At 32.1% G+C, this 16,080-nt stretch overlaps 1 long non-coding RNA gene across 2 annotated transcripts in view; it reads left to right on the top strand.

Moving 5' to 3' along the window:
• Positions 1-6,450: 6,450 nt before the first annotated feature.
• LINC01608 (long intergenic non-protein coding RNA 1608) overlaps positions 6,451-16,080 on the top strand; it is an 89,744-nt gene continuing 80,114 nt past the window's right edge. For both annotated transcript variants that reach the window (NR_125417.1, NR_125416.1), the window contains exon 1: positions 6,451-6,578. This is a non-coding gene — a long non-coding RNA (long intergenic non-protein coding RNA 1608). The remainder of the gene's footprint in view (positions 6,579-16,080) is intronic.

Raw genomic sequence — 16,080 nt, 5'->3', positions numbered from 1 at the left:
CCAGGACCTAATTGAACTAAAGAGCTTCTGCATAGAAAAAGAAACCGTCAACAGAGTAAACTGACAACCTTACAGAATAGTAGAATATATTTGCAATCTATGCATCTTACAAAGGTCTAATATACAGACTCTTCAAGGAATATCCAGACTCTGCAAGGAACTTAACAAGAGAAAACCAAGTAACACTATTAAAAAGTGGGCAAAAGACATAAACAGATACTTCTCAAAAGAAGACATAAGACATAACATTATGAAATGTTCAACATCACTAATCACTGGAGAAATGCAAATCAAAAGCATAATGAAATATCATCTCACACCAGTCAGAATAGCTATTATTAAAAAGTCGAAAAACAACATATGCTGGCAAGGCTGCAGAGAAAAGGGAATGCTGATACACTGCTGGTGGGAATGTAAATTAGTTCAGCCACTGTGGAAAGCTATTTGGAAATTTCTCAAATAAATTAAAACAGGGCTACCATTAGACTTAGCAACCCCATTACTGGATATTTAGCCAAAGAAATATAGTTCATTACACCAAAAAGACATATGCACTCATATGTTCATCACCATGCTATTCTCAATAGTGAAGGCATGGAATCAAATTAGGTGTCCATCAATGGTGGATTAAATAAAGAAAAATGTGTACATGCACACCATGGAATACTACACAACCATAAAAAGTATAAAATCATGTCCTTTGCAGCAACATGGATGAAGCTGGAGGCCATCATCCTAAGTGAATTAACACAGGAATGGAAAATGAAATACCTTATGTTCTCATTTATAAGCAGAAGCTAAATATTGAGCACATATGAACATAAACATGGGAATGATAGTCACTGCAGACTACTAGGGAAGGGAGGGAGGGGGACTTGGTTTCAAAAACTACTTATTAGGTACAGTGCTCACCACTTGGGTCGAATATACCCATGTAACAATCCTACATGTGTACTCCCTGTATCCAATATAAAAGCTGACTTTTTTTTTTCCTAAAGATGTAAATATGGATTGCTCTCTTGTCTTCTAAATTTAATGGTACACATAATAATTCTGGATGTGGCATGAGTTTGGTTCCTTCGCAAGTACTTTGCATTTTATTTCCTTTTTTGTTCATTTATTGTTGTTTATTGATTGTTGTTTATTGATTGTTGTTGGTTGTTCCTAGGCCTGTTAGCTGGCAAAGCAAAAATTTATCTGTGTGTGTATATCAACCTCTATTTGGATACAAATCTATACGTTTTCCTGCATGAAACCACTGTATCATTATTGAGCTAATTCATTACCACATACATCATCCCAGTCTCCTCTCATTGCTGATCTGTAATCTAACATTCAAACTAAGAAACCCGGTTTCTGCCATCTGCTATCCATTTACTTAATTGTTCACTTTTTGCATTCTTATATATTGGCTCTAGAATTGTTAACTCATTCCCGTATAAGACACAACTTTATAGAATAGAGTATAGTGCTTATGAATAGTTCCTTTCACCTGTATTTTTTCATATGCCACTCATCAAAGTTGCTCAGGTTAACATCTCCCCATACCATGCTTCAGTGAAGTTGTTTGCTACACTTGTAAAACAGTTAAATTATTTTGTCACATTTTACATTCCATCCTGGGAAGTTCCAACTTCCTAACTTTTTAAAAAATCTTCATATGTTAGGTTTTACTATTTGTGCTGTAATTCACTATTTTGTCATAACTTTCAATTGGTATTAATAAATGTATAGTGTCATTTTCTACTATTACAGCATCACAAGAAATAGTTGCATAATGCCATGACATTCTCTGTGTTTTATTTATTCAGACTCCCTCTTCTCAAACTCTAGTAACCATTGACTTCTGTCTCTGTAGTTTTTCTTTTCCAGAATGTCATGTAAATGGCATATTATAGAATATAGCCTTTTCAGAGTTTCTGTCACTTACATATATACACTTAGGATTCATCTCTGTATGGGTTGACAGCACATTCCTTTCTATCCTTGGATATACCCTATTGTACAAATGAACCAGTGTTTGTACACGTATTCGCTTATTGATAGGCTTATTGGAGACACTGCTTGCTTTCAGTTTGGGTTAGATTTTAAATAAAACCACTATAAATAGTCATGCGCATGATTTTGTATGCACGTATGGTTTTAAAAGTTGGCTAAATACTGAAGAACACAGTTGCTGGATCTTATGGTAAGATGATATTCAGCTGTGTAAGAAACTGATAAATTATTTTCCAAAGTGGCTGCACCACATAGGAGAATTCCCTGTTGCTCTTTATTCTTGTCAGCATTTGGTATTGCTAGTTTGCAAGATTTTGGTCATTGAAATAATTGTGTATTGATACCTCATTCACGTTTTAATATGCATTTCCCTCATGACAACAGAGGTTGAGCATCCTTTTGTATGTTTATTTGCCATATGTAAAGCTTCTTTGGTGAGGTATTTGGCCAGATGATAGTCCATTTTTAAGTTAGTTTGTTGTTTTATTGATGAGTTTAAATAATTTTTTGTATATTTTGGATACAAGTTCTTTATCAAATATGTATTTTGCAAATATCTTCTCCCAATTTCTGACTTTTTTCATTCTCTTTACAGTGTTTCTCATTGAGCACAAGTATAATTTTAATGAATTCTAACTTATCTTTTTTTTCATGAATTATGCTTTTGGTGTTGTAATTCAGATTTATTACCATACCCAAGGTATATAGATATTTTTCTATGTTAGGTCCTAGAAGTTTACAGTTTTACTGTTTATGTTTAGATCTATGTTCCATTTTGAGCTAATTTCTTCTAAATGGTAAAGTCTATCTAGTACCACCATTTTGCATAGGGCTGTCTAATTATTTCAGCATCATTTTTGAATATGCTATTATTTCTCCACTGAATTGCCTCTTTGCATTTGTATAAAACTGTTGACTTATTTGTGTATGTCTGTTTCTAAGTTCTTTATTATACTTTTTATATACAACTTAGTTTATGTGTCTATTCTTTTTTTTATTTTTACACACATATTTTTTAGATAGGGTCTCACTATTTTGCCCAGGATGGCGTCAAACTCCTGGAATTGTTGTATTTTGTTTTGGTTTTGTTTTTGTTTGGTTTGGTTTGGTTTGGTTTTCAGACAGTGATATAGTTTGGATATTTGCCTCCTCCAAATCTCATGTGAAAATTCATTGTTAATATTACAGGTTGGGCTTAGTGGGAGGTATTTGGGTTTGAAGGTGGATCCTTCATGAATGGCTTGGTGCCTTTCTCTTCCTCCTGGTAACAAGTGAGTTTCCATTCTGTCAGTTCCTGTGGGAACTGATTGTTATAAAGAGACTGGCACTTCCTTTCCCTCCCTCTTTCTTCCTCTCTTGCCATATAACGCCTGCTCTCTTTCTCCTTCCACAATGAGTGGAAACTTCCTGAACTCCTCACCAGAAATAGTTGCTTGTGTAATGATTCTTATATAACTTGCAGGACTATGAGCCAAGTAAACCTTTTTTTTTAAATATAAATTACCCAGACTCAGGTATTTCTTTATAGCAACACCAATGAACTAAGACAGACTGTGTCTATAGTGAGTATTGAAATCAGGTAGTGAAAGATCTACAATGTTGCTTTCTTTTTTAATTTTTAGGGAAAAAAATGAAGAAAATAAATGACTTTAACTTATAAGATTGTTTGCCAAAAAATATGCCATTTAATTTGGAGGAAATAAAGTCATAAAAGGCATAAAATAATAAGTAAAACATTTTCTAGAAAATTATTAGTATATTAATTTCCTCTGATGACAATTGGCACAGGTATGGAGATAGATTTGTTGTCAATTCTTGGTTCTGTCACATTAGGTATATGACTGTTTCAACGTTATGTGTAAACAGTAATAATAAAGACTACCTCAAGAATATACATAAGGATTAAGGTGAAAAGTATGCATTCAGCTGAAATTGTTGTTAGTGTTATTTTTAACATGATTATCCTAATAAATGACTCTGTGGAAAAGCATTTGGAAAAAAAGTTAAACGTGAGTGACTGAAGTGGTTTCATGATTGTAACATTTGATGTAACCTTAAAAATCATTATTAGGTAGAATTGCATTGAGCAACAGTTGACACTCAAAAAGCAAATATCCAATATGTTATTGTGTCAATATTTCTTTGCTGGTGTCCCTTTGCTATAAAGTTTTCCTTTTTATATTGTGCCTTAGTAATGGTTACTTTATTAGGTAGAAATTTCTTGAAATCTTTTTTGTAACTTAGAGAACTGAATAGTTTCCTTTTGTACTTGAAGTGTAATTAGATAGAGCTAAAATACTTAGGACTATAATTTGAAGACTAGCTGAAATCAAACAAATGACACCTAACACCAAAGACTCAGAGTATTTTCAGTTCAGATCACAGCTTTTAAGAACTAATAGATGGATGGTGTAAATCTCAAAACAGATGATACACTATTTTCAATAGTTGTTTAGTAGTCCTGTTTTCGAATTAGAGGCAAAACGTGGTTAATTCTAAATTAAGAGGCAAAACATCAGTATTTCTAAGTTTAAGATAGAAACACAAAACTCAGAAGAGGTTTTAATATTTAAAAATTATATAATAATTTCTAAAATTTTCTATTATTAATGTGGAGCTATTTTGAAACATGATTACCCATACCTTCTCAAGGTTTCTTATGTAAACTGTGAGTACATCAAACTGGCTTTTTCATAGATTCAGTATTGCTAAAATGGCTATGAGGATTTTTGTCTAAACCATCTCTTTCTTTTGTATAATATTATTTAAGGAATTGCATTTTATTAGCTCCTATAAATCAAAAAGATGGAACAAACATGAATGACATCATTAAAGAGCTTATTATCTACAAGCAGATAAAGACCTATATATAAAACAAAACCACAAGCAGTGGCGTGTGCCTATAGTCCCAGCTCCTCCAGAGGCTGAGGCAGGAGAATCAGGAGTTGGAGACTGTAATGCCCTGTTAATGCACCTGTGAACAGCCACTGTACTCTAGCCTGGGCAACATAATATGACCTTAACTCTAAAAAAAAAAAAAGATAAATAAAAAAATTAAAAGTCTAAAGTATTATGTGAGTTTTTAGGACAGAATGGTAAATTGCAGTTTGAGAAATTAGAAAAATCTTTTTTGTTTTTAAATAACCTACTTTTTAGTATAAACTAATGAATACTAGCTTTATATATTTTCAAGATGATTAACAGAAGAAATAGGAATATAAAATCACTAAGCATCTTAGCACAATGACAAAATATATTTTATAGATTGATAAAATACATTCTTAAAATATACACATAGCTATGTATATACACACATACAAACATGCTTATATTTATTGGAAATATGTATGCAATGTCAATTTTGCATACATATAGGCATATACATATTTATACACCTGCATAGACACATTCGTACAGACACATATGTGCATGTATGCATACATACATATATATGTAACTTTACCTAAGTGACATACACACATGCATGCATACAAACACATTGTATATGGTGTTTTCCTGTTAATATTTTATAAGCAATTATATTGGGACAATTCTTCCTCCAAAGATTTCTCTTCTAGCAAAATGGCAGACTAGGTACCCTGAAATAAGTCTGTCATCTAAATTAAATATATAAATATTAAACTAAAAAATTCTAGATACATATTCCAGAATCTTATATTTTAAAATAAAAGACTGCACTTGAAAGAAAATGAAGTAAATCCTTTACTCTTGGTTAAATACATAAGCTTTGAAGTAACTAGCTGCCCCACTATCATTACCAATACAAGCAGATTGAGGGTTTTGGTTTTAAAGACAGCTTGGCAAATGGTGTGAGATGGGAGTGGATAGCGGGGACTTGGACCCATGCAGAATCTGAAAAATCTCTGCATAAATGTCAAAAATAATACATCTATATGCTCAAAAAAGTATAAACTGGATATGAAATCCTGGCCCACATAGACAAATGTCAAAGAAACTTTTCCCATCACATTATCGTTTATTGCAAGAAAAAACATTTCTGCTGAGAATTTGAGGCCACTGGCTAGTCTCATTTTGGTTTGGGCTTGAATTGAAACATTTTCATGGCCAATCCAGGCCTACTATATTAATAGCAATTTAAAAGACCCCAGACTTTTGATACGAATAAATACGAAATTTCTCAGGGGTTGGGGGAGAGGGAAAGACATTCAAACTAAACCACAAAGAATCTTTTAAAGGAGAATGCAAACAAATAGGAGCTTATAGACTCAGTAAAATTTCTCTATAAACTGAATGTCAGCTCTGAAATGTGCCTTCACATCAATAATGGCATCCAGCATGAAAGCTGTAATATAATAGTTTGATTGTTCCCTTTCCAGTCTTCCTTACAGTCCCCTCTAAAGCAATTATTCTGTTCAAAAGAGGATTTGTTTGTGATATTCCTTTAAGAATCTTTATTTATTCCCCCAACAGTTTCTTTTTCTGCATCCGCTGCTCTGTTAAGTGATCACCACATTCATTGTTCTCGTTTCTATTATTTCTGAAAAAAATCTTCAGGATTCTGCTTGTGGGAGTGGATGACATTTTTACAGTGTTTACAGGTAAGGTTTTTTTTTTTTGTCTAAGTATTAGTTATTATAAGGAATTTACTGAGTATTTGAAACATTAAATCCAAGCTCAAACTCAATTAAATATTGAGAAATTTGTTTTCTCACATACTGGAGATTTAAAAGTAAGGCAACTTCAAACATAATATAATTAGCAGTTTTGCAGCTTAATAAAGCTACTAAGAACCTAGGTTATTTTCTTCCTTCCAAAATGGTAACCCGCTAATAAACAGGTTTTGCTTTCAGAAGGCTAAATTTTGTTGCTTTTGCCAGATTGGGTCACATACCTACCTTTAAACTCATGATCAATAAGGGTCATGGTTCCACTAAGACAGATGAATCACAAATTTCATATAAGCTCAGGATGTAGTCTTCTATATGTAGGTCACCTAGAGGCAGAGTGATGTCTAATCACTCTGATTAAATAAAATCAACATATTTTGTTAGCAAGAATATTGGTTGAGTAACTAAACTTCTAAAGTAGACATAGTTAAAAGAACGATCTTAATTGTTATTTTAGATAAAATGAAACATAAATGTGCTTCTATTGACTTTAAAAGAGTTAAGAATGTGAATATGCCATAATTTACAGAAAAATTATAGTACTGTTATTATTGCTCTAATTTTCATCAATTTTTTGCTATTGCCTAAATAATGTTGTAATGAGAAACTTTGTACTTAATATTTTGCCTTCATTCTGATTATTTCCCTTTACCTATTCATAGAAGGCAAATTAATGTTTCAAATCACATTTAAATGTTCCATCTTAGATATTGTGTAAAATTAGTTTTTCAGAAACATTGAATTTATTTCTTCATCAACAATGTAAAATATTTAAAATCTTATAGCTCAAGTCAGAAAGGAATATTTTTGGTTACTTCAACTTATTGACGAATTCAACTTAATTGATTTTAAAATAAAATATTCTTATTTAATTTAATTGATTTTAAATATTACAAAGCTTGATTATATATTATATATAATATATAATATGAAATCAGTAGCCTACATACATATGCATGCACACTTATTCTGCAAATTGCTTATATACTTTATTTTTCTTTTGTTGACTTTTTCTCTTATGAATATTGGAAACCTATACACATTAAAAATGAACTTTTTGTAATATGTACTGTAAATATTTCCCAGTTTATTTTTTATTTGCTTTTATGGCACTTAATTTACAGTTTAATATTATTTGTATACAAATGTATATATTTTTCTTGTTTTCCAATTACACATATGTTCCACAATGATCCAACATAATCTGTATTTTTCCACTTATCTCTCTGACATAAGCAAGTTTCTTCTGTCAATCTTCATTTCTTAATATGTAAAAGGGAGTGAAAAATGTATTTACTCCACTGAATACCAATGAGAATTACTTAGACAAAACCAAGCTTAATTTAAAAATCAAAAATAATTATTAAATCACTATAATCCTGCTAGTTGGGTAAAATATTGAAAAATCGATTTATTTGTTTATGTTAAACATTTTAATTGTTTATGTTAATTATTTTAGGTTGATTATAATAATTTTTCTAATTTTTAAATATTTAGTTTGAAAAATCTAAAGAAAATATGCTTCAGAGCATAAAATTAGTGTCTAATGAAAGCATCTTTGTGAACACAATGCTGGATTATTTTATTGGTTAATTTTAAATTATGTCAGTTATCAATGTGTTGTTAGATGGCTTCTGCTTATTCAAATCATGTAGTTTCTAGATATAAAACTAACCCCTCAGTTTGAGTTAGATTCCCTATGCCAAAAAGCCTAATTTATTTTTTCTAGCTTTAGGAAAAAAATAAGAATAACTTTTCAACTCAGTCTATTTCCTTTCAATAACTTCAAATGATGTTTAAAAATCAGCACATTACAAAATTATTTAAAATGTGCTTTGAAACTTTGAGGCTGGCTCCTTTAATTACTATTCAGATTGCATGTTCCCTTTTATAAGTTTGCTAACCTCTTCTATAATTAGGAAATTGTCAATGATGTTAGGCATTTCTCTTCTACCCTCTGCTATTATTTCACCCAGAATAGACTGAGTAGGGCATGTGCAGCCACTTCAACTTCCACCCATTTTTTATCAACTATTTTCCTAACTAAAAACAGATTCTACATGCCAGTTGATTTTTTAAAACTCTTGTTTTCCTATTCAGATTTTCTACTACTTATTTATTACCTTGCTTTATTTTGAATATTGCTCCTCCTTCATCATTTTTTTCTATTATGGGATATATATATATATATATATATATATATATATATATACATATTAAAAATGTAAATATATATATATATATATCCCATAATCTTACTGTGATGCTTCCTCTACATTGTTGCATAGGTGGAGAGAGAGTGCTCAATAACTATTTGTTAACAATAAATTTGCCTATACTTTGAATTCTTTTTTTTTTTTTAAGAGGGAGTTTTGCTCTTGTTGCCCAGGCTACAGTGCAATGGCATGATCTTGGCTCACTGCAACCTCCGCCTCCCGGGTTCAAGCGATTTTCCTGCCTCAGCCTCCCAAGTAGCTGGGATTACAGGCATGTGCAAACATGCCCAGCTAATTTTGTATTTTTAGTAGAGATGGGGTTTCTCCATATTGGTCAGACTGGTCTCAAACTCCCGACCTCAGGTGATCTGCCAGCCTCGGCCTCCCAAAGTGCTGGGATTAGAGACATGAGCCACTGTGCCTGGTCTACTTCAAATATTTTTATAAGATGACTTTGTTTGGCTAAAACTAAGGTTATGTTTCACAAAATTAGAATCAAGCTTACATGTAAATAGACTTAATGTCCAGCAAAAATAGAGGGGATTCATCATTATACATTAATTCCTCCCTTGACTTTTTAATTCATCACAGGGAGCTTAAATGTTAGCTGGGTCAAACTATGTCATGAATTAGAAAGTCTAATTGTCATGAATAATTCCATAAATTTCTGATAGTCTTCCAATATGACATATGAAAGAATACTATTTCTCTTAAAAATAACACTGAGGTGAAGCCCATCTTTGTGCAATGATAAAATTTCATTGTAAGCATGCAAATTCAACCCATCCAGAATATCTACTTAGAATTTTTACATCCTCTCTTCACATTCTCAAAATATTAATAGTAAGTATCTGTTATGATTTACTATTAGTTAATTTTGCAACACTTTGAGGTCAGTTTAGAGATGGTAACTTAGTCCAATATTTTATACAACTCCATACATACGCATCATAACTTAAATAATTGTCAGGTTATCAAGTTTATAGCATAGGAATTTGATTACTTTTATTCAAAAAAACACATCAATAAATATGAATAGATTGTCTATGAATTATATAATCACTTACTTAATGTGTTTAGCCAATAGTTGGTGAAACCTTTATTATATTCAAGTGCTATGTAATCAGATAGAAAGAAAGAACATATATGATCATTATGAAATACATATTCTAGAGAAGATAACATTAATTATAAAGGAAAAAATATTTTCTGAATAGAGCTGCAGTGAGAGCAATAAAGAAAGATAGGGAAGATAGATTAAGAATTAATAATATGAGTAGAGAATTAAAGAGATTAATTGTAGTTATCTTAGGTCCAAGAAAGAAAAAAATATTTGCAGAAAAATGTATTGTTATATACAAATCAGTAAAGACTTAGCATATGCCAAGAAATAAAATAGTTAAGAAACTCTGCTCATCCAGAACCTTGTGATTTGCTTATTTTGTGTTTGGGGGACAAAGGCTGTTGTGTAATATGGGAAAATGTTAGGAATTGAAACTAAAGAGAAATATACAGGTATTTTATGTGATGCAAAATAATTTAGAATGTATCCAATAAAACATGCTTAGTCTCTGAAAATATCTGAGTCAGATGTGCATATTTGTTTGCTATAAAGATCATTCTAGTGGGAGCATTGATGATTAACTTGAAAGTAGCTAGCCTAAAAGCACCAACTTCCTGGTAGTCTATTTATAGGTCTTGGAACTGTTAATCCAGCCTTAGAAAGCGTTGATGAAAGTTTGCATTATGCCAGTGTGAATGCTATTAAAGAAAAAGAGGCATATATAGAATTTGATTCAAAGAAGAAATAGAATGACTGATCAGATGTTTATCCAATCGGCCATTATATTTCAGTGTTGGAAGTGAAGCTGGGTGAAGATTTCCGGGTAATTGTCAAATATCTGTTAAGCCCTTAGGTTTTAAGAGTTAATGTAATCTCTGATAAACAATGTTCACAGAAAGTGGGGGAGTAGTGTCCAAATTACAGTTTATTTTGCCCTCTCAAACCACCTGAAAAACTCTTTAGAAAATTGTATAAATCAGAGTAAGTAAAAATAACACATTTCTGAATACCTATTCCCACATATAAATATTTTCAAATTTTGGCCTTTCCATAAACCTGAGATGTAAATATTCCTCTTATGTTATAGTTAGAGATGTAGTCTATCTTTTAGCTATTGGGTTATAAGAAATATTCCCAAACTCATACTAATATTACAAAAATAATACAATACTGTATAATTATAGCTCATGTGTCATTGGCTGAAATTCACTGATCTCAGTGGGGCTTAGCTTATCAAGGCTGTCTGGCTGAGATAAATGGGACATCTGGGCTCAGTGTCTGTCACATTTCTCTCATCCTCCTTTCAGAGTAAGCAGATTGGACTGGGACATGATCTTCTCTTCAAGAGGGCAGAAGCACAAGGCCCAATGTATAATTGCTATTCATAACTCTACTTATGTGATATTTGTTACCTGGGTCCCTACATTAGCCAAGGCAGAACACATGGTCAAGCTGAGGTGCAGAGAATTACACCTTGACTACACAAGAGTATAAATACAAGGAGGAGTGAAACTCCAGGGCCATTACTGTTGCCAATCTAACACAAATAGGACACTCCATTTTTTAAGATTGTAAGTTCTGCAGGAAAAATGCCTGAGTCAATATCCTGGCCCTACCAGGAGCTCTGTAACCTTGGAAAAATTACTAAGCCTGGTTTCTCATTTTAATAAGGAAAGACAGCAAAACTATACCTCATATCATTAATGAGTACACATTTGTGAGCCCTATATCTAACACAAAATATGTACCAAAAATATTAATTGTATTATTCCATATATGTGGGCATTGAGGTTCACAGGAGTTGACGTATTTAAAAATAAAATTTAACATTAATAATATGTGCTGAAATTGTGCTTGAATGCAGAAATTCAGATTTCCTGACTTTGGATTTCAGGTTTGTTAAACAACATCCTGCTATTACTATGTAAAAACATTGAAGTATAATCACTATAGAAAAAGGAAATATAATTAATCAATTATTACATTCTTTCTTTCTTTCTTTTTGGGGACGGGGTCTCGCTCTGTCCCCCAGGCTGGAGGGGGGACCGTCTCAGCTCACTGCAACCTCTGCCTCCTGGGTTCAAGTGATTTACCTGCCTCAGCTTCCTGAGTAGCTGGGACTATAGGCACCTTCCACCATGCCTGGCTAAGTTTTGTATTTTTTGGTAGAGACAGGGTTTCACCATGTTTGGCGAGACTGGTCTTGAACTCCTTACCTCAGGTGATCTGCCCATCTCGGCCTCCCAAAGTGCAGGGATTACGGGGGTGAGCCGCCGGCCTGGCCTACATTATTAAATTCTTAAACTGATGTTACACAGGCATCATTATAAAAATTACACGGTAGGGAATTAGTTGATAACTACTTTAAAATCTTTAAAGTATAAAATACATACTTTGTTCTATTTATAAAACATGATATGAAATAAATGACACATTCGCTGTATTAAATCCAATAAATTGTCAAAAATAGATGCATTACGTGTAGACTGGTATGGATTATTGAACAAATGTAATTACATTTTTAAATTCAAGCTGTCTGATACAGAATGTAGAACTAGGACACTTGCAAAGGTAGCACTGTAGTAAACATTTTATCTTAATGATATTATGCTACTTTAATACTATGTAATAGCACAAAGTCAACACTTTTAGGATGCCCAGGTACATACTGGAAATTGACCATTATATTCGTTTTTTTCTACAGATATTGAATATTCTTTTAAGGGATACACACAGACAACTAGCTCTTTCTACCAGAAAAGCGTTTTTGTAGACACATTGCAGTTTCATTTTTCTTTAATGACTGACACTGCTCCATATGTTCAGAGCTCATACTTCTAAAAGAAATTTGACAAATTGTTTGCTGTGCATAGATTTTTTTTTCTGTCTTTTGAATAAAACTTCCTTGGCTATGGTACATTTTACAAAACAATTTCTGCACATGTGACAGGTGGGTGACTTAGTACACAAATTGTCAGGATTCTGGCCTGTGCTGCTTCAGCGATTTATCCTCTAGGGACAAATAAAGTGTTCCTCTTCCATGGACATTTATGCTCTAACATTTTCTACCAAAGGTAAAAGAGCAATACATCCATTTTACTTTCACTGATCATGAAAATATTCCCATAATCATCATACACAGAATAAATATCATTGCTTTATTTCTGCTCTTCTATCTGAAGGTGCCTAAATTTAAACTGCAACCTCTATGTATCATGGCATTTGCTAAACTCTCATCATTTCATCATGCTCAAATTATTTAAAACTAAGATTGGTTCTGGAGTACTCTCAAACAACTTCTTTTTTTTACATAGAAATATTATTGAATAATGGATCTAGGATATCACCCACCTAACTTTACTTGCTCCAGTGTGTATGAAAGGGAAGAGAGGAACCGAGGCAGAGAGGGAAAAATAGAGAGGGAGCAAGGTCTGGGTAATATTTACCACTTAGGCAGTACTGAATATGGGTAGGCGCTATTCTATATCAATTTAGACTTAGATTTTTCCTATGAAGTGGAGATCGGTATTATGTATATTTGCCTAACAAGAAAACTAATTACACAAGTTTACTTGATCAAGTTCACACAGGTAGCTAATGTCAAAGTCAATCAATCTGTCTCCAAAGGCTGGCTCACTACAGTGCTACATTCATTGTTCTAAGACAGGCTCAGAGGAGATGAAGAGCACAGCATAGCAGCTCACAAACAAAACACAATTGATGTCTCAGTTATTTAACATCCAAAATCACACTATGAAGTCTCCATCTTCTCTTATAACATATTAGTCTCTCTGATTCCTGACAATCAGCTTATTGACTTACTGCAGACAAATTCATGGGAATTCACCATACAACATGGCTACTTGGAAATAATGATAGAATAAAAAAGACTTGTGTCAGCAACCTGGCTCTTGTTAGCTATGCCATATAGATAAGTAGGTAGGTAGATAGATAGATAGATATGTATCATATAAATATATTAGATACATAGTGTATGCATGTATTAGAAATAATGCATAATTTTTCTTTTTGTATAATTAGTTTCTGGTTATAATTCCCTCTTTCCAGTGGCATACAAACATGACAAGCGTAATCTCATAACTGAGGAAAAAATAAGACATTAGCTAATAGATGATATCACATAAAATGTTTATTTAATATGTGTAAGAGAATAGATTAGATGGAAATTGAAACAAAAGAGAACTACAAAGAAGTAGCAAGAAGGACTTAAGACAAATACAGGATATTGTAATGAATTTGATTGTAAAATAAGATGAAATAGTGAAAAGAGAAAAAATAGACAAGTGAAAAAGTAAACAGTGAAAATTAATTAAATAACAATATTTGGAAGTGTGGATAGTTTTCAAGATATTTGTACCCATTTTTAATGAGACTTTTAACAAAGAAGCATGGTATCTTTAGAAGGAAAATTTCCAGAAATTATGTAACATTTCATATTAGTGTGTCATTGAGTACACTTAACAAAATACACATTTTATAAGATGCTAACACAATGAAAAATTGCTATAATTTATTTTATTTTCTTATTGAGGTTGGTTCTACACTTCCTTGTAGGTCATTCTTTCTAAGGTTTCTTCAAATCATCTAATTACCTTAGTTTTTCTTTACTGGTGGTAGTTACACCCTTTCAAAAACTCTGTAAGATCCATGTGAAGGTGTGAGCCTACCTTACCAGAACAAGCTTAAAAAGTTAATTTACTTGTAGTTCGTATTAAGAAGACTCAGGATTAAAGTTTATAACACAAATATATAAGATTTTTAAAGGTTAAATTCAGTTCTTAGATTCTAAATTAACATACTTAGAATTAATTTTGCTCATACTCCACTAAGAATTCTTGCTGTGACCGATATTTCAGCACCTCTTCCTGTAATTTGTTTTGACTGTATGGTTTCTTTCAATACTTCTCCTCTCCCAGTCCATTCACATTTCCTCTAGAAATTATTTTGTTCCACAATAGTCACTTCTGCATTTCAAGCTCTTCACCAGTGCTGGCTTTATATTGCTAAACACATTTTTCTACTTGTGAAACTTTTCATTTAGTTCCAGATGAAATTCAACCCTAATCCTTAAACTTGGTAATAGTGCTGCTGTATGCCAAATGTTACTTACCATCTCTGTCTCTCAGTTTCTGATTCCTTTCAGTCGTTTCTGTTTATGGGTTGTTGTAATTCAAAACAAGTGCTCTCCATTTTTTTTATATTTGGTGACTTCAAATGGGACACTACCCTAATATTTTCATGAAATCACTCTAATCATTTAGATTCATATGGGAAGAATGTTTCCACTTAAAATATAGGGAAATGAAAGGAATTTATATAGAAAGACATTCCCTTAAAAGAATTTTTGCATTGCAATGCAAAAAGGAACTTAACTCTAAAATATTAGGTATTCCTGGCCTTGAATTCTCAGTTTCTTGGCCATCTCCAATACCTGAGGTTTGTTATTATGTGACTTTTTTCGCAGTCTTTCAACATTCAATATTTAGTGCCCATGCAGAATTTCTGTTAATTTCATATGAACAAACATATATTTGTGTGTCCAGATCTGAAGTAACGTATAAAGCACACTAAACAAAATAAGCTCCCTCTCTCAGAGAAACTCTATCAAATATTTAGAATTTTTCAAATCTTCTTGTTTTCTTACACTTCACTCTTATTTATATAAATGTTAGTCACCTAAGCACTAAGATACTAAAATACTCTTTTGTAAGTGCAGTGTGCTCAATTGTCTTTGATTGTTAAGTTATACTTTTTATAGTACTTATCTTTTAAAAGCACATACATTTTACTTACATAAATCATTAAAGTCAGTTGTATAAATCACTTCAAATTCATTTAGGGAAATTAATTTATGCTGTAATTCAAATGTTTAGGAACATGATTGCTAAGTTTGAGATTGATATCTGAGACTTATGTGATATTTTTATTATTAATCTCTAACAGAATGACAACTATTGTATCTTCAAACTCATGTTATACCATTAGGGAATACAAAATGTATTAGCATAAGTACGTACACTAATTATTGGAATGAATGTAACTTAAACATATCTGTCTCCTCTTCTACCTCTCTGGTAGTATAATTTAGCAACCAAATTAACCATCACAAATTTTTTGAGTCTGAAGATCCTCA

Source organism: Homo sapiens, chromosome 8 (assembly GCF_000001405.40).
Source record: "Homo sapiens chromosome 8, GRCh38.p14 Primary Assembly".
Classification (NCBI taxonomy): Eukaryota; Metazoa; Chordata; class Mammalia; order Primates; family Hominidae; genus Homo; species Homo sapiens.
The sequence above is the reverse complement of the archived record's forward strand: the minus strand, read 5'-3'. Positions and strand labels throughout refer to the sequence as shown.